The sequence below is a fragment of the Homo sapiens genome, chromosome X (assembly GCF_000001405.40).
Source record: "Homo sapiens chromosome X, GRCh38.p14 Primary Assembly".
In the NCBI taxonomy this organism is placed as follows: Eukaryota; Metazoa; Chordata; class Mammalia; order Primates; family Hominidae; genus Homo; species Homo sapiens.
The window spans coordinates 55538772-55562054 of NC_000023.11; positions in this window are offsets into that span (position 1 = coordinate 55538772).

Sequence of the window (23283 nt, forward strand, 5' to 3'; positions counted from 1 at the left end):
CTGAGTGTTTTATAGTTTTTTTATTCCTTATTTTCTCCATAAATTGTCTTTTTTTGTGTTTAACTGTGTTTTTGCAGGGTACCACTTTGGTTACCTTTTCATTTCCTATGTGGATATTATTTAGATATTTTCTTAGTAGTTACCATGAGGATTTCAATTAACATCTTAAATGTATAATAACTTCATTTGAATTGATACCAACTTTGTTAAAATAATGTAAAAAATCTCTCTTATCATACATTACTATCCTTTTCGCTACTGTTGTGACAACTTACATCTTTATACTTTGTGTGCATATTGTTGTAGACATAATTTTTATGCATTTGTCTTTTAAATATTGTAGGAAATGGAAAGTGGAGTTACGAACCAAAAATACAGTAATACTGTCTTTGTATTCACCTATATAGTTAATTTTACTGATGTCCTCTATTTCTTCAAGTTACTCTCTAATGTTGTTCCTTTTCAGCATGAAGTACTCTTTTTAGCATTTCTTGTAAGACAAATATACTAACATCAAACTCCTTTAGTTTTTATTTATCTGAGGAATGTTTGAACTTATCTTTCATTTTTAAAGAAAAATTTTTCCACACATAAAATTTTTGATTGAGAAGCTTTTTTCCTAACTTGTCAAAAAAGCACCCACCCCCTTCCATTATGTTTTCCATGGTTTCTGATAGAAAGTCAGCTCTTAAAATACTCTCAACAATCCCTTGTATGTGATGAGTTGCTTCCATCTTGTTGCTTTCAGTATTTTTCCATTGTTTTGCTTTTAACAATATGATTATATTGTGTCTCAGTATGAATCTTTTTGAATTTTCCCTATTTTGAGTTAATTGAGATTCTTGTATATGTACATTTATGTTTTTCATCAAATTTTGTTTTTGAGTATTATTTTTAAAATATTTTTTCTGCCTATTTCTTTCTCTCTTTCCTTCTGAAACACCTGTAATGTGTATGTTATGCTTGACATTGTCCCATAGGTATTTTAGGCAATGTTTATTTCCTTTTATTCTTTTTCTTTCTGCATCACAGACTGGGTAATTTCTATTTTCTTATTTTCAAGTTTGCTGATTCTTTCTTCTGCCTGTTCAAATCTGCTGTTGAGTTGCTCTAGTAAATTTTTTTAAAATTTCAGTTAACGTGCTTTTCAGCAACAGTATTTCTATTTGATTCCTTTTATAATTTCTGTCTCTTTTTGATATTATCTATTTGTTGACACATTATTTTCCTAATTTCCCTTAGTTATTTGTTCATATTTTCTCTTAGCTCTTTGAGAATTTTAAAGACAGTTGATTTAACACCTTTACTAAATTCAATATCTAGAATTCCTCAGGAATTATTTCTGTTAATTCGTATTTTTCCTGTGAATGAACTATACTTTCCTAATTCTTTGTGTACCCTGTATTTTTTGTCGAATTGTGGACATTTTGAATATTATTGTGTGGTAATTTTAGAAATTAGATTCTCCTCCTTACTCTCTGGCTTTGCTTTTGTTGATTTTTGATGGCTTCAGTCATCCACTTGTTTAGTGAATTTTTAAAACTACTTTTGCAAAGATTGTATTTTTTGTCATGTGTGGTCACTAACGTCTCTGTTCCATTATCTCAATGGTCAATCAATGATCCAACAGAAACTTTTAAACATTTGGAGCCACATGGTTAAAAAAAAATAGTACTCTCCCAATCTTTGAAGCTTAGCTCTGTACTGGGGTATTCCTTCTATGCTAAACCAAGCTGCTTGGGATTTTGTTTTACCTTTCAACTTCTACTAGTGTGGAGTCCACAGATCCACTGGAAGTTGGAATCCTAGGTATCACTCAGGTACTTTCTAAGTATGCATTCTCCCCTGTACATGCACATGTATTTTTCACTCTGTTTTCCTGAGTAAAACCTTGCTTTGTAACCTGCTGTTTCAGGGCTCTTAAATTCTCTCAGCTGCATGTCTTATCTGCAGTCCTTTTCCTAAGGGAAGAATGGGATGTGCATGATTATATATTTCAACAGATGCCACTACTGCCCAGAAAGCGGTAGTGGGGGGCAGGTGGCAAAAGACAGCCTCTGTGGTCAGTCCCTCAGGAAATCAGCAGAAAGGTCAAAATACACAACCTCAACATTTTAAGAAAAAGGTCCATATTAGTTTACAGACATCAGCAATCTACATGAGAAACATGGGTTTCCATCCCCCACTTAGCTGCTATTGCACTGGAAAATGGGAGCTGGTAGGCAGGCAAGAAAAAATGCCACAGTGCTCTCCTACTTGATGCTCTTTTCTTCATTAAGCAGCCCCCTCCAGTTGCAGCAAATTTCTCATTAGACTCCAGAGTTCCAAAAACATTAAGTCAATCTTTGATAGATCAAGGAGGTTTTAGTTGAGAAACTGATTCTTTAAGTGTTTTACTCCAATATTTTTTTGAAGTCATCTACATTGGTTGATTTTTGTATGTTGAACCACTCTTGGATTTTTGGGATAAATCCCATTTTGTCATGGTGCATAATCCATTTTACATGCTGCTGCATTCGTCTTGCTGGTATTTTGTTGAGGATTTTTGCATTATGTCCATATAGAATATTGTTCTGCAGTTTTCCTTTCTCAAGATATATTTTTTCTGACTTTGGTATCAGAGTAATGCTGGCCTCATAGAATGAGTTACAAAGTGTTACTTTATGTTCTACATTTTGAAATAGGTTTTAAAAGGTTGATGTTAATTTTTCAAACATTTGGCAGACCTTATCAGTGAAGCCATATACTTCTGGGCTTTTTGTTGTTGTCGTTAGGAGTTTTTTGATTACTAATTCAATCTCTTTACTTGTAATAGGCCTATTCAGACTTTTTATTTTTTCATTAGTCATTTTTTGTAGTTTGTGTGTTTCCAGGAATTTATTCATTTTATCTAGGTTATCAAATTTATTTATGTTGTTCATAATATTCTCTTGTGATCTTTTTTATTTCTGTAAAGTCAGTAATATTATTCCCACTTTCATTTCTGGTAATAGTAATTTCTGTTTCTTCTATTTTTCTTCAGTCATGACTAAACATTTGACAATGTTTTTGATCTTTCAATGAACCAACTTTTCGTTTCGTTGATTCTCTGTATTGTTTACTGCTCCTCAATTTTGTTGATCTCCTCTCTAATCTTTATTATTATTATTTCCTTTCTTCTTCTTGCACTGGATTTAATTTTCTTTTTTCTAGGTCCTTAAGGTAAAAAGAAGTTAGCTTATTGGCTTGACTTATTTTTCACCTTTTAAGGTAAGCATTTACATGTGTAAATTTCTCTGTCTGCATTTTTTCACTGTACTGCATAGGTTTTGTGTGCTTTCATTTTAATTCTTCTCACAATATTTGTCAATTTCTCTTGTGTTTTTCTTCTTTGATCCATTAGTTGTTTAGGAGTGTATTGTTTAATTTTCACAAATTTGTGAGTTTTCCTTCCATTATCAATATCTAGTTTCATTCAGAGAAAACACTGTGTATGATTTCAATTTTTTTAAATTTATTGAAACTTATTATGTGGGCTAACTATGGTCTATTATGGATGAAGTTTCATGTGATTTTGAGAAGAATGTGTAGTCTGTGTTGTTGGGGGCAGTGTTCTCTATATGCCTATTAGGTTTAGTTGGTTTATAAAGTTGTTCCGTCATCTATTTCCTTATTGGTTTCTGTATGGTTGTTCTAGCCATCAATCAATGTGAGGGGTAATTTAGTTTCCAATTATTATTTTAGAATTTTCTATATCTCCATTAAATTGTTATTTATTTTGCTTTATATATTTTGGGGTTCTGTTATTAGGGGTGTGTATGTTTATAATTGTCATATCATCTTGATGAATTGACCCTTTCATCAATATGCAATGTTCTTTGTTCTTGTAACAATTATTAACTTAAAGTCTATTTTGTCTGATATTGTTATAGTCACCCCTGCTCTCCTTTGCTTTCTATTTCCATGGAGTGTCATTTTCCATCATTTACCCTTCAGACTATATGTATCTTTGGATTTAAGCGAGTCTCTTGTTGACAGAATGTAGTTGGGTGAGAATTTTTTGTATCCATTATGCCTATCTCTACCTTTTAATTGGAGAGGTTAAACCATTTATATTTAATGTGAATACTAAAAATAAAGTACTTGCTTCTGCCATTTTGCTATTTAATTTTTAAGTCTTATATCTTTTTTGTTCTTTAATCCCTCCACCACTCTCTTGTCTTATGTTTAATTGATTTTTGCAGTTCCATTTTTGTTCTTTTCTTATTTATATTTCTGTATATATGTTTAGTTATTTTCTTAGTGGTTACCTAGGGATTACAATTTAACATCTTAAATTTATAACAATCTAGCTTGAATTAACACCAATTTAGTATACAAAAATTCTCCTCCTATACATTTTCCTCTTTTGTGCTTTATATAGTTATTGTCACAGATTATATCTTTATACATGTGCCTGTTAACATAGATTTTTGTTATTTTTTGTTAATTTTTTTGTTAATTATTGTTTTTTTAATTTGTCTTTTAAGTCATATAGAGAGTTGTTACAAGCAAAACATAGACTAATACTGGCTTTTATATATACCTATGCATTTATATTTAACAATGTTTTCCTTTCCTCATAGAGTTTTGTTTCTATCTAGTGTCCTTTCCTTTCAGCCTGAAGAACTCCCTTTAGAATTTCTTGTAAGAAAGTTTTCTGAGGGCTCTGTTCTGTTGCATTGATCTATATCTCTGTTTTGGTACCAGTACCACGCTGTTTTGGTTACTGTAGCCTTGTAGTATAGTTTGAAGTCAGGTAGTGTGATGCCTCCAGCTTTGTTCTTTTGGCTCAGGATTGACTTGGCGATGAGGGCTCTTTTTTGGTTCCATATGAACTTTAAAGTAGTTTTTTCCAATTCTGTGAAGAAAGTCATTGGTAGCTTGATGGGGATGGCATTGAATCTATAAATTACCTTGGGCAGTGTGGCCATTTTCACCATATTGATTCTTCCTACTCATGAGCATGGAATGTTCTTCCATTTGTTTGTATCCTCTTTTATTTCCTTGAGCAGTGGTTTGTAGTTCTCCTTGAAGAGGTCCTTCACATCCCTTGTAAGTTGGATTCCTAGGTATTTTATTCTCTTTGAAGCAATTGTGAATGGGAGTTCACTCATGATTTGGCTCTCTGTCTGTTGTTGGTGTATAAGAATGCTTGTGATTTGTGTACATTGATTTTGTATTCTGAGACTTTGCTGAAGTTGCTTATCAGCTTAAGGAGATTGTGGGCTGAGACAATGGGGTTTACTAGATATACAATCATGTCGTCTGCAAACAGGGACAATTTGACTTCCTCTTTTCCTAATTGAATACCCTTTATTTCCTTCTCCTGCCTGATTGCCCTGGCCAGAACTTCCAACACTATGTTGAATAGGAGTGGTGAGAGAGGGCATCCCTGTCTTGTGGCAGTTTTCAAAGGGAATGCTTCCAGTTTTTGCCCATTCAGTATGATATTGGCTGTGGGTTTGTCATAGATAGCTCTTATTATTTTGAGATACATCCCATCAATACCTAATTTATTGAGAGTTTTTAGCATGAAGGGTTTTTGAATTTTGTCAAAGGTCTTTACTGCATCTATTGAGATAATCATGTGGTTTTTGTCTTTGGTTCTGTTTATATGCTGGATTACATTTATTGATTTGCATATATTGAACCAGCCTTGCATCCCAGGGATGAAGCCCACTTGATCATGGTGGATAAGCTTTTTGATGTGCTGCTGGATTTGGTTTGCCAGTATTTTATTGAGGATTTTTGCACACCAGTTAGAATGGCAATCATTAAAAAGTCAGGAAACAACAGGTGCTGGAGAGGATGCAGAGAAATAGGAACACTTTTACACTGTTAGTGGGACTGGAAACTAGTTCAACCATTGTGGAAGTCAGTGTGGCAATTCCTCAGGAATCTAGAACTAGAAATACCATTTGACCCAGCCATCCCATTACTGGGTATATACCCAAAGGACTATAAATCATGCTGCTATAAAGACACATGCACACGTATGTTTATTGCGGCATTATTCACAATAGCAAAGACTTGGAACCAACCCAAATGTCCAACAATAATAGACTGAATTAAGAAAATGTGGCACATATACACCATGTAATACTATGCAGCCATAAAAAATGATGAGTTCATGTCCTTTGTAGGGACATGGATGAAATTGGAAATCATCATTCTCAGTAAACTGTCGCAAGGACAAAAAACCAAACACCTCATATTCTTACTCATAGGTGGGAATTGAACAATGAGAACACATGGACACAGGAAGGGGAACATCACACTCTGGGTTCTGTTGTGGGCTGGGGGGAGGGGGGAGGGATAGCATCAGGAGATATACCTAATGCTAGATGACGAGTTAGTGGGTGCAGTGCACCAGCATGGCACATGTATACATATGTAACTAACCTGCACATTGTGCACATGTATCCTAAAACTTAAAGTATAATAATAATAATAAAAAAGAAAGTTTTGCAGTGAAAATTTCCCACAGGCATTATTTTTTGTCTTACTTTTTCTAAATTTTTGAGGGAGATTTTTGCCAGACATAGATATGTGGATGGAAGGGCTTTATTATTACCTTTTATGCCTAAATATGTCTTCCCACTGCCTTCTGGCCTCCATGGTTTCTGATGAAAAATTGGCTGTTAATGTTATTTAGAACTGCTTGTATTTAGAACAAAAAAGGTATAAGACATAAAAATTAAATAGCAAAATGGCAGAAGCAAGTACTTTATTTTTAGTATTCACGTTAAATATAAATGGTATAACCTCTCCAATTAAAAGGTAGAGAATTGCTTCTCTCTTGCTGCTTTCAAGGTTCTCTCTTTGTCTTTGGCTTTTGACAGGTTGATTATAATGTGTTTCAGTATGGTTCTTTTTGAGGTTATCTACTTGCATTTTGTTGAGCTTCTTGGATGTGTTGATTCATGCCTTTCATCAAATTAGTAAACGATTGGGCAAATTATTTTAAAAAATATTTTTTCTGCCTATTTCTTTCTTTCCTCTCTGTCTGAAACTCCCATTATGTGTATGCTCATATGCTCTGGTTTCCCACAGTTTTGTCAGGCTTTATCATTTTTCTTCATAATTTATTCTTTCTGCTCCTTAGACTTGATCATTTCAATCGACCTATCTTCAGATTTATTAATTGTTTCTACACTGCTCAAATCTGCTTTGGGATTTGTTCAGTAATTTTTTTCACTTATTGTACTTTTGGCTCCACAATTTTCATTTGGTTCCTTTTTATAATTTCTATTTCTTTATTAATGTTCTCCATTTGCTAAAACATTTTTCTCCTGATTTTCTCTATTTGCCATGCTTTTCTTTAGCTCTTTAAGCATATTTAAGACAGTTGTTTAAAACTGTTTGTCTTCTAAGTGCAATGTCTCAGCTTCCTCAATGATATTTTCTGTTAATACCTTTTTCCTTACGCATGAGCCATACTTTCTTGTTCTTTGCCTAACTTGTTATTTATGTTGTTATTGAAAAGTAGACTTTTAAATATTATTAGCAATAACTCAAAATAAGATTTTACCCTTCCAGAGTATGTTTTTGTTTCTGTGGATTGTTGTTGTTTGCTTATTTAGTAACTTTTTAAAATTGGTTTTGTAAAGTCTGTCTTTTTTGCCATGTGTGATCATTAAAGTCTATGTTGCATTAGCTTAGTGGTCAACTAATGATTTGACAGAGATTTTCTTGAGGGCCTTGAACAACAACATAAAACAGGCTCTCTTGGTCTTTGCTGGCTGGCTCTGTGTAGTAGTGTTCTTTCAGGTTTAATCAGGCCATTTATAATTCTGTGCTATAGTTTAGATATTTGACCCTCCAAACTTCATGTTGAAATTTGGTACCCAATGTTGGAGGTGGGGCTTAATGGGACGAGTTTGGGTCATGAGATGGATCCCTTATGAATGTTTTGGCACTGTCCTCACAGTAATGAGTGAATTCTTGGTATATTAGTTCCTACAAAAGCTGGTTGTTAAAAAGAGCCTGGAACCTCCCTCCCCCTCTTCTTTGCTTCCCATTTTGCCATGTGATTTCTGTACATGTGGCTGTCATTCACCTTTTACCATGAGTTGAAACTTCCAGAGGCCATCACCAGAAACAAATTCTGGTTCCATGCTTCTTATAGCCTGCAGAAAAATTAGCCAAATCAACTTCTTTTCTTTATAAATTACCCAGCCCAGCCTCAGGTATTCTTTTACAGCAACATGAATGGACTAAAACGTTCTGCATTAATCTTCACTTCCTGCATGTGTGGAGCACAAAGGTCAGCCAAATGTAAAAGGTTTGGGTCTTCTCAGATATTTTCTGAACATGTGTCATTTCCTGAACATGTCCACAGACTTCTAGATTTCTTGGTATTTGCGTGAACTTTTCTAAACCCTTATTTCGTCACATATCTCTTTTCCCAGACTTTTTTTTCCTAGGCTTTTCAGTCTGTTAGCAGCTTACCCGCTCTGTTATTCCTTGACCCAGACAGATGCAGCTAGTATATCTGCATTAAAATTGTTTTCAACAAATATTTCCCTGGAGGCCACTTCAGTCCTGAGAACATTTTATGGCTGGTGAAGAAAAGGCAAGCCCTTTAGCTTATCCCTCAGGAAGCCAGCAGACAGGACAAAATACAAAACCACAATACTTTGAAAACAAGGTCTATATTGCTTTCTCTGGCATAAGCAAGCTGCATCAGGAACACAAGCCACCATCTCCATAGCCATGACTGGCATGGGAGGTAGGGAATGGTAGGCAGATAAATTAAAATGCCACAATATTCCCTTACTAGATTTAATCACTTCCTTAGTTGTTATAAGTTTTTAAAATTAGATTCCAGCATTCTGAAAAAGTTGGTTCTGACAAGTTTTTTTTTTTTTTTTTTTTTTTTGGTCAGGCTAATGTTTGATTTAGTGGATGGATAATGTTTTAGAATTCTCCACCTTGTCATTTTCAGTGGAATCAGGCATTGATATTTTCAAGTTGTATATTCCATTAAATCTTATCCAGCTTTCAAGTAAGGAAACTATATCAAAACTTAATATGATTTTCCATACCATGTACTTTTGTTATCATAACTGAGGACATTATGCCATATTATGTTTGTTTTATAAATAGTGGAAGCTTCAGAGATTAGGATTAGGGCATGGGCTATACTGATGACTGTGGGCCTATGGTGAGGACACTAAAGTAGGTAAGGAATTTCTAGTTTCCAAAATGACTGCCTTTTTCCAGAAGAAAACCATCAGCCTATGAAACTGAGACCTTATATTTAGTTGAAGCTTTTCCTATTCACAAACTGACTTCCTGATTAAAACTTTTCAGACCAAGAACCTCCACATCAATTAAAAAAACTTAGACTTCTTCATGAAATCTCATCCAGTATTTATCCTCAAACTCTGTCACTCAGTGAGCACAGATTTAGTCATATCTTCACCCTATCACCCTGACATTATGTTGTCCAGGAAGGAGCTATGTGCTGCATAATAGGATCAGCAGGCCAGAGAAAGGAAAAGGTCATGACTAACAAGCATTATAAACAGTGGGTGTCATCCAGTGAAGGAAACAGGTAAGATTTTTCTCCCTCACATTAGCACTACCAGATACTCTTTCAAACTGAGGGTTGGTTGGTATGTGGATTCAGGTAGACAAAATGGCACCCTTAAATCGGTTGAACTTAAAATGGCACCCTTAAAAATGGGTTGGACTGTGATGGCTGCAATGAGTAAGAAAGCTGTGTGGCATGTCCATGTATGCACTTAAAGAGAAGTGGAGCAGGCTCAAGTAAGACAGCAGAGGTGAGGACATATACCATATTGGGCACAAGATAAGCTAGGTTTTTGGAGCTGATGTACAAGTTGTGGTCACAGTGGGGCTCACTAGAATTCATAAGGGGTGGTTAAAGTCTTGAAATATGTGCCATGGTTGGCATATGGGCAACATGACTACAGATTTCATGGTCTCTTCTCAGAGCAGGACCTACTCTAGTATGTGGACAGTGCATAGGTTCTGGGGACAGTGCAAGGAGTTCCTTGTACTGAAGACTTCATGAGAGACACCTATGCAGTACAGAATGTAGTGCTGTGATTGTGTTGAGTTGTCTCTTTGCCATAGTAGGGCTACCGTGAATGTACAAGGTGTTTTAGTAAAAATATATGTGCAGAGCCTATTCAAGGGGTGTTAATTATCAGTTCATGCTGGGTAAGATTTGAGACTGCATGAGCTGTGTAGAAGAGAAATAAGGACCCTAATCTGGATGGGGTATGCCAATGGTGTGGTGGGAACTTGGGGTGGGGGCTATTTCAGGCAGGGGACTAAGTCTAGTTTTTCTGTTTGCCAAGAAATTTAATTTTTACCTTCAGGAACCCTTCCTCCAAGAATGTGGCCATATTTTATGGAAAACTTCATCGCTTATTTGATTAATTACTGGCTATACTCTTTGAGACTGCAGGCTTTCTCCTCCACCCACCATGGGCTGATTATACAGGAGCATTCCTTAGACAGTTCCATTAAAAACCCTGTGTTCATTCCTTAGAAATCTGAGCCCAGTAGTCAGATGGAAAATAGAATTAGCAAAGATGTTTTAGGGGAGCCTATCCCACAGGGCCAGTGTAGCCCACCTCCCCCACTGTGAAATGGACTTGCAGTCACTCATAACTTCCATCCTCTGTGTTCAAAATGAACCCATATCTTAGCAAGAATAGTCCCCATTCTTGTTCAATTTATTCCCCATCTCTAATCCACCTCTCTTCCTTCATCTCCTCCTTTTGGCCTTTCTGTAGTTGAGCTATAAGCTGAAGTGCAGTGTGCGCAGATCATTTCCTATGAAAAAAGGAAAAGGAAATGGTCTTTTCTGACAAAACTTCTTTAGCAAAGGATATGAACTAGGTTTGGGAAGATTTGACTTTGTTGTTTCATCATATCTGGAATACCTTGTTCAGCCACATGGTCAGTAGCTGGCTCATAAAAGTATTCTAATGGATCAAGCATATTTAAGGATTGCAAAGACCCCAAGTAAGGAAACTATATTAAAGACCTATTGCAAACTATTGCAAAGACCTCAGTGCAGGATGCTGTGTCTTGGTGTGATGGGCAATGATGTGTGCCTGAGTTCGAACAGGGGTTATTGGAAGTGTATGTAGTGGCACAGAGAGCTTGCTATAGAAAATGCCCACTTCATATACCAAGGGGGTAAGGGATTGCTTTACTTTTACTTGTTTCTGCCCATTGGTTCTACATATTGCTGAGGGAGAAAAAAAATCATTTTTACAAGTTAGTTGAAAAACATCACTTTACATTTTACAACTTAGTACTACTGTTTGTCGAGTTCACACCTGTTAGACATTTTTGCAAGTCATTTTTAATTGTTTTGTTTTATTTTAGCTCCTTTCCATTGAGTAATATATATTTTTCCTATTTAGCCTGGTTTGCACTTTTTCATTGACTATTCCTTTTATATTTAAAGAGAATTTATTTAAAATAACTATATCATACAGTGCAAAGGTTTCTATATTTTTCTCTTAGATTAGGGTATTTTTCCCTAATCTGGCCAGGGTCTGTTTCCTTGTGTTAGGGGCAGAGGTGAGGGCCCTGTCCTGGACATAAATGGCCTGCTTGCCTAGCATGAGGGTGTTTGATATTTTCATGAGAACACTTTCTTTTAGTCATATATAGGTAATGTTATTAGACTACATATAATTAACATGGACAATTTCCAAGGGTCTACAGAAATTCTCAACACCATTCCAACATGGAAGAGTGGCTTTTTCACATCCATCAAGAAAATTCCACTCACAGAAAATTCTGAGTGAAGAATGTGGATTTTACTAAAAATTTCAAAGAAACATCAGTGGGTTTACTCCCCCACAGTAGAAATGCTCTTAAACATATCTCTTCCCTAAAAATTTTTTTTTAGCTTTCAGTCACCAGATCTTTCCTTTCTAGCTACTGTTTCACTAAACTTCCTCCAAATGCAACAGCTTTTATCTTTTTCTTGGAATCTTCCCAGAAGTCATTCAGTATTTCTTACTTTTCTGTGTAGAAACATTTAGCTTTCATCTAGTTTCTCCCTCAATTGTTGTATATATCACCCAATACTTAATGCCTAAGCCACAGGTTCAGCAGCTAGGTCTTGGCACTGTTGAAGTAAGCAAGATAGCATTGAAGAGGTGAGGTCTAGTCTTAATCTGATGTTTTATGTGAGGGTCAAAAATGAGGATCCCAATCTGTGCAAGAATGACTTGAGTTATTTATAGCAGTAATGAGGGCCCTGCTATGGGGAAGGCCTACTTTATGTATGGGATTAAGAAATTGCCTTATTTTCACTTGTTTCTGCAAGCTTGTCTTTAGAAAAGAGGTAGAAGTCCTATCTTCCTCAAGCTGAGTATATGAGTGAAAACATTAAGTTTTCCATAGTCAAAACAGATAATGTTATGAAAATAACAAACAGGTAATATGCAATTGTTTTTAATCTTAAATTTAAGTGCTTAATACTTTTTGTGTTTTATGACATTTCTGGCAGATATCTCCATTGAGCATTTTTTCCAAAAGCTTTTCAAGCATAAAAATTATGAGACTTCTGCTGTTGGGAAGATAATATAGACACAAATTTTCATATTCTTCATTATAAGAGGTAAAACTAAAACCCCAGATATTATGCACAAAACAAACATAAGAAGGCCTTGAAAGGTAGAGAGAAGGAAGACTGGCTATGGACACCAGGTCATGGGGAACAATATGATGATGAGTTCCATAAGTTTTTGTTTTGTCTGAATTATCCCAGATTGAGTACTGGAAAAGGTGGCAACTCAGAAAAGCTAATCTATCCACACAAAAGAGTCCCAGAAAAACCTGCTTACTCTAGCCAAGGGACCTGGAAAGGAACAACATAACATACCAAAAACTTTTAGACAATAATTATTCTTCTTAAGCCAAACTTCATAAAAAAAGACTCTGACCCCAAGCCCATTTGCACTGGCAAAGGCAGGGTACAAGCCTAGACTTCCATTCTCTTAAGGCTGAAACAGATGCTCAGGCTCCTCTCCCCACAACCAAGGTAGTGTCAGACAAGTTACAGTAGAGATACAGGATATTCATCCCCGTAGGGTGATAACCAGCTCCTCCACCATTTTGGTGTCCTTAAAGACCACATAAGGAATCTGAATTTCTACTTCCACTTAGCAATATTAAAGTATCCCTCTCCCTCCCTACTTTTATTGTGCTGCAAGATATTTAATGGAAAATTGGGACTATCACATCCACAGGGCAGTAGTGAGGCTACCCACCCCTTTGGTGGTCTAGTTGAGGTCAGGGAGTGAGTAGCGGTGGAGTCTGAGGGAGAAGCTGGAACATACAACCTTATCCACCAGTAATGAGGAGCCCCTCTCCAAGTGTCAATGAATGCTAAGTAGGAAACTTGGACTTCTACCCTCACCTGGTAGTAACAAGGTGTTACCCCATCATCCACTGATAGAGTAATGTCAAAGAAGGAAGAGATTCTGGTATGTTGTGTCTTTGTTTTCATTGGTTTCAAAGAACATCTTTATTTCTGCCTTCATTTAATTATGTACCCAGTAGTCATTCAGGAGCAGGTTGTTCAGTTTCCATGTATTTGAGCGGTTTTGAGTGGGTTTCTTAATCCTGAGTTCTAGTTTGATTGCACTGTGGTCTGAGAGAGAGTTTGTTATAATTTCTATTCTTTTACATTTGCTGAGGAGTGCTTTATTTCCAACAATGTGGTCAATTTTGGAGTAAGTGTGATGTGGTGCTGAGAAGAATGTATATTCTGTTTATTTTGGGGTGGAGAGTTCTGTAGATGTCTGTTAGGTTCACTTGGTGCAGAGCTGAGTTCAATTCCTGGATATCCTTGTTAACTTTCTGTCTCATTGTTCTGTCTAATGTTGACAGTGGGGTGTTAAAGTCTCCCATTATTATTGTGTGGGAGTCTAAGTCTGTTTCTAGGTCTCTAAGGACTTGCTTTATGAATCTGGGTTCTTCTGTATTGGGTGCATATATATTTAGGATAGTTAGCTCTTCTTGTTGAATTGATCCCTTTACCACTATGGAATGGCCTTCTTTGTCTCTTTTGATCTTTGTTGGTTTAAAGTCTGTTTTATCAGACACTAGGATTGCAACCCCTGCCGTTTTTTGTTTTCCATTTGCTTGGTGGATCTTCCTCCATCCTTTTATTTTGAGCCTATGTGTGTCTCTGCCCGTGAGATGGGTTTCCTGAATACAGCACACTGATGGGTCTTGACTCCTTATCCAATTTGCCAGGCTGTGTCTTTTAATTGGAGCATTTAGCCCATTTACATTTAAGGTTCATATTGTTATGTGTGGATTTGATCCTGTCATTATGATGTTAGCTGGTTATTTTTCCCATTAATTGATGCAGTTTCTTCCTAGCCTCGATGGCCTTTACAATTTGGCATGTTTTTGCGGTGGCTGGTTCTGGTTGTTCCTTTTCATGTTTAGTGCTTCCTTCAGGAGGTCTTGTAAGGCAGGTCTGGTGGTGACAAAATCTCTCAGCATTTGCTTGTCTGTAAAGTATTTTATTTCTCCTTCACTTATGAAGCTTAGTTTGGCTGGATATGAAATTTTGGGTTGAAAATTGTTTTATTTATGAATGTTGAATATTAGCCCCCACTCTCTTCTGGCTTATAGAATTTCTGCCAGGAACCAAAGACAAAAACCACATGATTATCTCAATAGATGCAGAAAAGGCCTTTGACAAAATTCCACAGCACTTCATGCTAAAAACTCTCAGTAAATTAGGTATTAATGGGACGTAACTCAAAATAATAAGAGCTATTTATGACAAACCCACAGCCAATGTCATACTGAATGGGCAAAAACTGGAAGCATTCTCTTTGAAAACTGGCACAAGACAGGGATACCCTCTCTCACCACTCCTATTCAACATAATGTTGGAAGTTCTGGCCAGGGCAATCAGGCAGGAGAAAGAAATAAAGGGTATTCAATTAGGAAAAGAGGAAGTCAAATTGTCCCTGTTTGCGGATGACATGATTGTATATTTAGAAAACCCCATCATCTCAGCCCAAATTATCCTATTGCATTTCATTTATATTGTATTTTTGAAAAGACAAAATTGTAGAATTGGAGAATGGTTTAGTGGTTGCCAGCGATTAAGGGCAAAGCAAGAGTGAGGCCATTGTGGTTATAAAAGGACAACAGAAAGGATCCTTGTGGTGATGGCACGGTTTTTGTTGTCATTGTTTGTCTCAATTATGGTGGTGGTGGTGATCTGAGCCTAAATGCACTACAAGATTTCATAGAACTAAATCACACACACACACACACACACACACACACACACACACACACGCACACACAAGTTAAACTGGGGAAATCTGAATAAGATCAGTAGATTCTATCAATGTCAATACCCTGGTTGTAATATTGTACTGCAGCTTTTGCAAGATGTTATAATTGAGGGAAACTAGGTAAAGTAGGCATGGGATATCTATGAAATCTTTTTTTTTACAACCGTGTGTTAATCTACAATTACTTTAAAATAAAGAAGTTTAACTAAAAATATGTTTTATAAAGGAGAGACAGATTTTTTTTTTCCAAAATGTCAAGACTAGCTGAAAGATATTCCAATTAACCTTCACAGTCCTCTTTATCCTAATCCTTGGATTGCAGATATACAGCCTGCATGGTCCTCACATTGTCCTTTTATCTGTGTGTGTAAAATCCTGATGTCTCTTCTTAATCTTATAAAGATACCTGTCCTATTGGAACAGGGCCCCACTCTTATGACCTCAGTTAAGCTTAATTACCTCCTTAAAGGCCCTACCACATAACATAGTCACGTTGAGGATTAGGGCTTCAACTTACAAGTTTCGGGAGGACACACTTCAGGCCATACACATATTCATATTATATACATTATTTTGCATATGATTTAAAGGATCCCAAAATTCACTTTGATATTTCAGGTCTCAGCAGCTTGACTAAGGTTCTTGTGATTGAAAGCACTTATTCGTCTACTTCTGAAGGGAAAGGGCCATACATTATGTGCAGGTTTCTGTTTTTCATTAGTTTCTAATGCTTTCAGACCCAGTGCTCTGTTTATACAACAAGGTTTTGTAATGCCCACTCTATAGTTTATTTTTCAAAAAGATCTGCTATTCCTCCCTGAGCAAGTATTATAGTTCCTCTTCTTAATTATGGCAGGGTTGGCCATGTGATTTGCTTTAACCAACAATATATGCATAGAGGAGACAAGTGTCTTTTCTGGGTGGAAGCTTTAAAAGATAGGATGTGGTTTGCCCTATTCCCTTCTTCCCTCTGCCACCAGGATTGGCAAGTTCTCAGATAGAGGATGCTTTTTCAGTTTCAGTCCCAGGGTGAAGGCAATGACAGAGCAGAGTCATAGCTGGCTGGAACAAATCAGATAGCATGAGCAAGAAATAAACTTTGTAGTTGAAATGCACTGAAATTTTAAGGTCATTTGATACCAGAGACAATCTAATTTATCCTGATACATGCTCTTTGTCATTCTGAAATAAAATTCATGATAATATAATTTACATATACTAACATACATAATTTCTCTAGCCAATATCTCCCCAACTCTGTTATGGATGATTAATTATAACACACTTTATTATGAAAGATATTTATTTTAGCTTTTATATTCACTGATTCAGGCCTAGGAGTAATTATAAAATAGATGCCCACCCCTACATATAATAAATAAACTTGGTATAAAAGAAGTTTAGAAGGTTTTCCTTACCAGAAAAACAAAAATGAAAGAGCAGAGGTAAGATGACTACTCTAAACAACTGGTTCCAGAACAGGCATTTCTGTGAATCCATCTGTGTGAGATGGGCAGTTTTACTCACCTTTGAAGGGCTGGGAAGTGTCACCTCTGTTGTCAGCGTACCTTATGACTATGTCACTAACAAGGGAACTGTTGGCTCTGGTGCATGACCTCCATTCATCTAGAAAGCACCTAGTGAGTCCCACAATGCCTTGGTGTTGGGGAGAAGTAGCATACTGTATCTCCTAGAAGGAAACAGAGATAGCTAGGACTATGACTGATTATTCACGTTACCACTGCCCTTGTTGGTGTCAGATAAGCTAGAATGCTTATACTCTGGTCTTTCTGTTGAACCTTCATACTACCTTTCAACTTCTTTTGCAGTCATTGCCTGCAGACAACACTTTTCACTTGCCTTGCAGAAGCTCTGTGCTCTTTGTCAGTAGGAACCAAGGGCTCCAGTTCTGTCTGGAGGCAAAGCCTTGATCCAGTAGCCATGTGAGATCCCTCTTCTCATTAACTAATCCTTGAGTTCCTGAAAGAGTTCAAAGGAAACAGGGCCCATGTGATGAGAAATATGCGCATCCTTATCCAGATTTAAGTAGGAAAAAGAATGGAAAGCAGCCTTCTAGACATAGCTGGACCAATTTGAGGATTGAGGTTTTGTCCTATTTGATATCCCCATCACCTCCCTGGTTTTAGTCAGGTACTGCATGCACATTTCAGCTCCCAAGTTTGCATTTGAAGTATTTGGCTTACAAACTAAGTCCCCACAGGGAGTATATTTGCCTAAACTCTGACTGTAACAATGTTATTCCAAGAACTTAAAACCCTGCTCACCTGGTCTACCCTACCCCAACCTGCCATAACTCACCACAAATAGGAACCCGGAAGCACCTTCAAAACAGATGTACTGACCATCCTACCACAGGGTTAATCCCAGGATTAGTAACAATACCCACTCCTCTGTTGATATGGTTTGGCTGTGTCCCCACCCAAATCTCATTTTGAATTTAACTCCCATAATCCCCATGTGTCGTGGGAGAAACCCATGGGAGGTAATTGAATCATGGGGGTGATGGTTTTATAAGGGGCTTTTCCCCCTTTGTTCAGCTGTCATTCTCTCTCCTGCTGCCCTGTGAAGAGGTAACTTCCTCCATGATTTTAAGTTTCCTGAGGCCTCCCCAGCCATGCAGAACTGTGAGTCAATTAAACCTCTTTTCTTTATAAATTACCCAGTCTCGGGTATATCCTTATAGCAGCATGAGAATGAACAAATACATCTACCTTTTTTCCAAAGTGGCTATTTCAGGCAGAGCTGGACACTATCCCTTTTCAGATTACATATATTGACCTTTCAGGTTTGAAGTTGCCCAGTACCTGTTGACTGAAAATCTGATCAATGCATCTTGGATGAGTTTAAGGAAATCATACAATTCAGCTCACACTAAATGGCATGCACCTTTTTAATCTAGTCATTCCATTTTAAAATTCTTTACTCTCCTATGTCTAGAGCTCCCATTAAACGTTGTGTTGGACATTATGAAATATGGGGAACATGTGTGGGAAGTGCTCTGCTCTGAGAGGCTCTCTAGCCTAAATATTTCCTATTCAGCCTTAGTTGAAGGTAACTGAGGTGTAAACACAAACAATTTGATCCATACAGTTGCCTGTGCTCAGCTGAGAACTGAATCACCATTGTGGCTCCCAAAGTGTCAGAGGGCAGTGAAGGCTACTTCTACATAAAAGGCTGTTAATTTGCAACAGGCAAGGGAGGCTGGCAGAAGAATTCCTAATTTTTCCAACGATAATGCACCTTAGGTGATTTGTGCAGCCAATTCAAAATTTTGTGGAGGGAAACTTTGAGCTGGAGACCTGCTTTATGCATGGAAAGAAACTGGCCTTGGCACACAAAAGATCCTGTACTTGATGCCTGGTAAGGGAAAGAACCATAAGAGAAGTCAGGGAAATTGCTGAAGTGCATCCCAAAAGTTGGTGCATCACCATCTTTGAGATTGCTTTAGCTCTTTGGACTTTGGTATTTAAAATAGGTTTTTTGGTGCTTGTATATCTAATCCCTATGGGAATACAACTTGGCTATTCTCTCTGGCTCTCAAAACTTTTACTGCCTTGAATAAGAGTTTCTGTTCTAGTTATTGTTCTGATCCAAATAAATAAAATTCTACCCTCAAACATATACCTTAAGTGATTTCAAATATGTATGCTCACAGACATGACATTTAATTCTTTTCTTTCTCCTATATAATTAAAATGGCATTAAATTACATTAAATGTGTTCTCTTTATTACATAGTATACATTATTTAATTATACATAGATGTTATTTCATTTTGTGCACAAAATCCTGTATATTGTGCTTGTTCACAACTTAATAGATATCCAGAGTTATTTTGACTACATAAGATTTCATATTGCTTGCTGACTTCTAAAACTACTAATCTACATAAAATGTGACTCATCAGCAACACAGGGGTCAAATGGCATCACCATGTTTGTAACTGGAGGATCACAACTGGAAATACCAGTTAAGTTTAACGAACCTTGAAAACTAATTGTCACTAATTGTGCACAGACATCCTCCATAATAGCTGATCTCACTAGCTGAAGAGCAATTAAAAGGCAAATTGCCAAGGATAACCATGATGTAGAGTCTGAAAGCTACTCCTGAACATTCTTTCCCCTTATTTTTTGATAAAAGACACTCAAGCTTTGGCAAGCTATATACCACTATGAAAGAAGTCACAAAGAATTCAAGCTTTGAGCTTTGGGAGGACTCTGTGGCACAGGGCTCTACTTACTGTAACAGTCATAGAGGCAGTGGAGACAGATGCTGTGGAACTAAGATCACCTTGAAAGTCTAGGTATGATTAGAAGATGGTGTGGAATTTCTAAGTATTAGAATTTCTAGCAACACTCCAGTTTTCATCCCAATGCCATACCTCCACTTCCACAGTTTCTGGTGCCCAAAATTCCAAAAACTTTTCTAATTGTCTTTGGAGTAAATGGGTTTTCATCTTTTTTTCTATGCCTCTCTGAAAACACTTAAATTTACATTCTATTGCTCTGCTAAGTAAGCTACTAATCCTCTTTCCTCATTGTGGTTCAAGGTTATACATCTAAATATATTCTTGTTTTCTTGATGTTAGAGTTTATGTTACTAAGTCTCATTTTCCTTTCTGTTTAGGGGCAATTCCCAAGAGACAAATACATCTTTGCCATCTTAAATGACAAATCCACAAAATTTTCCTTTGAGGAGAAGTGATTGAACTTGTCTAAGAAAGACTTCTAGGAGGTTTGCAAATAAACGTGAGAGTTGTATTAGTCAACAGTGCTGGACTGGGCCACCAGCACAACTACTGGAGGGTCAACCACTTATTAACCTTAAGAGTTCTAGACTTGATGTATCAGATGTGGTGCAGAGGTGCATCTACTATGAAGCTAAGGAATATTAATCTTCAGTGTCTGTCAGTTGCACAGGCCCCTTTCAAGGCCCTGAGAGAGTCGTTAGAAACATGCTAACATGATTTTATGCCTTTCTTTAATTTGAAAGCTAAGGTATTTTGACAGCAATTGGTTAAGACTATTGTTGCTTTCCACTCTGACTTCCCCTCCATCATACTATCTCTTCTGCCAGACAGCAATGGAATGCTAGCAAGCATATTTGGGATCTAGCAAAGGGCAAGGTGAGTATTAAGTGGTTTGCAGTTGCTTCCATGTAGTTAATTTATTGCTAACTGTCTTGGTATAGAAATGGCTTCCAGGAATCCTCCTATTTCCAATTGTGCCAGTTCACTTGGTGTCTTGACATGAAGGTTTATGGCTTGAGAAATATGTAGGTAAAGGAGGAGAAACAAAGTTTGAAAGGAACTAAGCAAGATAGTAATCTGTGGAAAAATCTTCAAATCATCAGATATGTAAAATTATAATTTAAATTTGGTTCTCATCTATGCCTGGAAAAAACAAAAGGACTTGCCTGAAAGGACCATACTAATAATGCAGCTTATTCAATTATGCATGTACCACACATTTTCGTTTGCTTTTGATAGAAATTGGGTGAAAAGTAATTCATCAGAATCCTTGGGTTCACAGGGGACAGAGTTGTAACAGACAACACATACATATGTGTGAATTTGCATTATTTATGTATCCCAACTATTTATAACTAAAAAATAAATTTGGTCAATCAAATATATTACAAAACCCTTGTTATATGAAGCGGTAATCAAAGAGTAGGCAGCTAAAAAGCATAGGATAAAGATTAGAGATGAGTTAGGTAATAATAAATATGGTATTTTTTCTAGATTTGGTAGCATTTAACAGGTTTCTCAGCTTTAAAAAGTGTAAAATATTGTAATGTCATTTCTTATTGTAAATGAGTATTTATTTTCCTACTTAATTTTGTATTTGTAACTTTGTATTTTTTCTTAAAGAAAATCATATAAGCTTCAGGCCCCACAAAATCTGCCTCTTCAGTACTTGTTGATGTGTCATGATTGAATGGTGTATTCAGGAGTCAAGTATTATTTTCTGTGCTTTTGATACCTACAGGCTTTGTGAGATTATGTATGTGCATGTGTATATGTGCATACACATATGTGTGTGAGCGTATGTGTGTCATGAGTCTGTGATGGGGTAACATAGAGTAGAGATAGGAATTCAGCCTCTAGGTCTGAGACACAATGAACTAGATTCAGCTGTGTACCAGGTAATGTGCATTAATGGGAAAGAAAATATGTTTCATAAGGAAATATTTAGTTAACACTAAATTTGGTTTACACGTCTAATTTATAGAAAACAAATATGCCTTGTGGGTGGTTTGTTACTCATTGGTAACTTTTCTGTATCATAGAACAACTTTGATGAGAAAAAGCATTTTCATCATTTGGGATTCTTTGAATAATTTGTGATTTTTAAATTTTATTTCTGACTCATTTTAGCCCATTATGCATATTCTCCCCATTTGCCAATATTTTAATAATTTTTATTTTTTAATTGCTTTAAAATGTCACCAGTATATATTTTTAAATTTTATCTAAAGACATGATTTATGATTTACATCTTATTTGCTTTAGTTTTGTTGGCTTTCCAGTACGATATCTGCTTTTGTAGATTTAAAAATCATTTTTAGTATGAAATTAATTTACCCATTTAGTCCTACATTTCTATTTAAATTTTTCTTGTGCTTAATTTCTTATAACTTAGGGTAATCTTTATATATCCGTAATATATAATTACTCTTGCCTGGCATATTCTGCCTCTTATTAAACGTGCATTGCAACTTGGTCAGTGTGAGGGTCGCCTGGATTTCCATAAAATAGAAATAAAAATATTGATTTCAGAAGACACTGTTTTATGATAAGAACGTGGAAAATAAGGTTCTTTACCATTGTAGTGGTTATCAGTAGGTGTGAGGATATGAGGAGAGGTTTCTGATCTGAGTGAAGGCTAATTTACGGAATAGGGTTGGGGCCCACCTGATGGTGTAGGGACAGGAGGGAATTCTCTATTTCTATGTTGGGGTTGACCTACTCTCAGAAGAGAATAATATGTGGTTGATATGCTGATTAAGAGAGCTCAGTTTTTATTGCAGATTCTTTCTGCCTGGGGGTAAGTCATAGCCCTACCTCTAGGTAGTGTCTTTCCCTTTTATTGACAACAGAATGACAGCATTTTGTACCAAAAATTCTGACATTATGTAATGATGTAGAATTGTCTCAAGTAATGTACTTCCAGTACAGATCTCATTTTCACTGACAGCAAAGCCCAGAAAAGTGGGAAGATGTATGGAATATCTCCCACAATGGGTATTATGGCAGGCAGCCTTTAATATGGTTTCCAATGATCCTGTCTTGGTTATTCATGTCTTATGTAACCCCATCCTTTTTAGTATAATAAGCTCTACTTAATGACTTGCTTCTAATGGCAGAGGTAATGGGATGTCAATTCCAAAATTGGGTAACAAAAACACTCTGACTTCTGTCTTCATTTTCTCTTGTTCTCTTATTTGTTCATTCTGACGGAAGCTATATTTTATGTTGTATTTTGCCCTATAGAGAGGTGCATGTTGTAAGGAAATGGGAGCAGCTTCTAGCCAATGATCAGCAGTGAACTGAGGCCCTAAGCTCAACAGCTTGCAACAAATTGAATCTTTCCAAACACTACTTGAATGAGCTTGGAAACAGATCCTCTCCCAGCAAAACCTTGAAATGAGACTGTAGCCCTAGCCAACACCTTAATTGCAGTCTTATGAACTAATTGGATGGATACTCCTGGCTGTAACTTCATGCTTTCTTGAAAAATCTGGTAATTCACCAATATTCAATGAAAACTAGATGCAGGCTGGATGTGGTGGCTCACGCCTGTAATCCCAGCACTTTGGGATGCTGAGGCAGGTGGATCACTTGAGGCCAGGATTTCGAGATTAGCCTGGCCAACATGGTGAAACCCTGTCTCTATTTAAAAAAA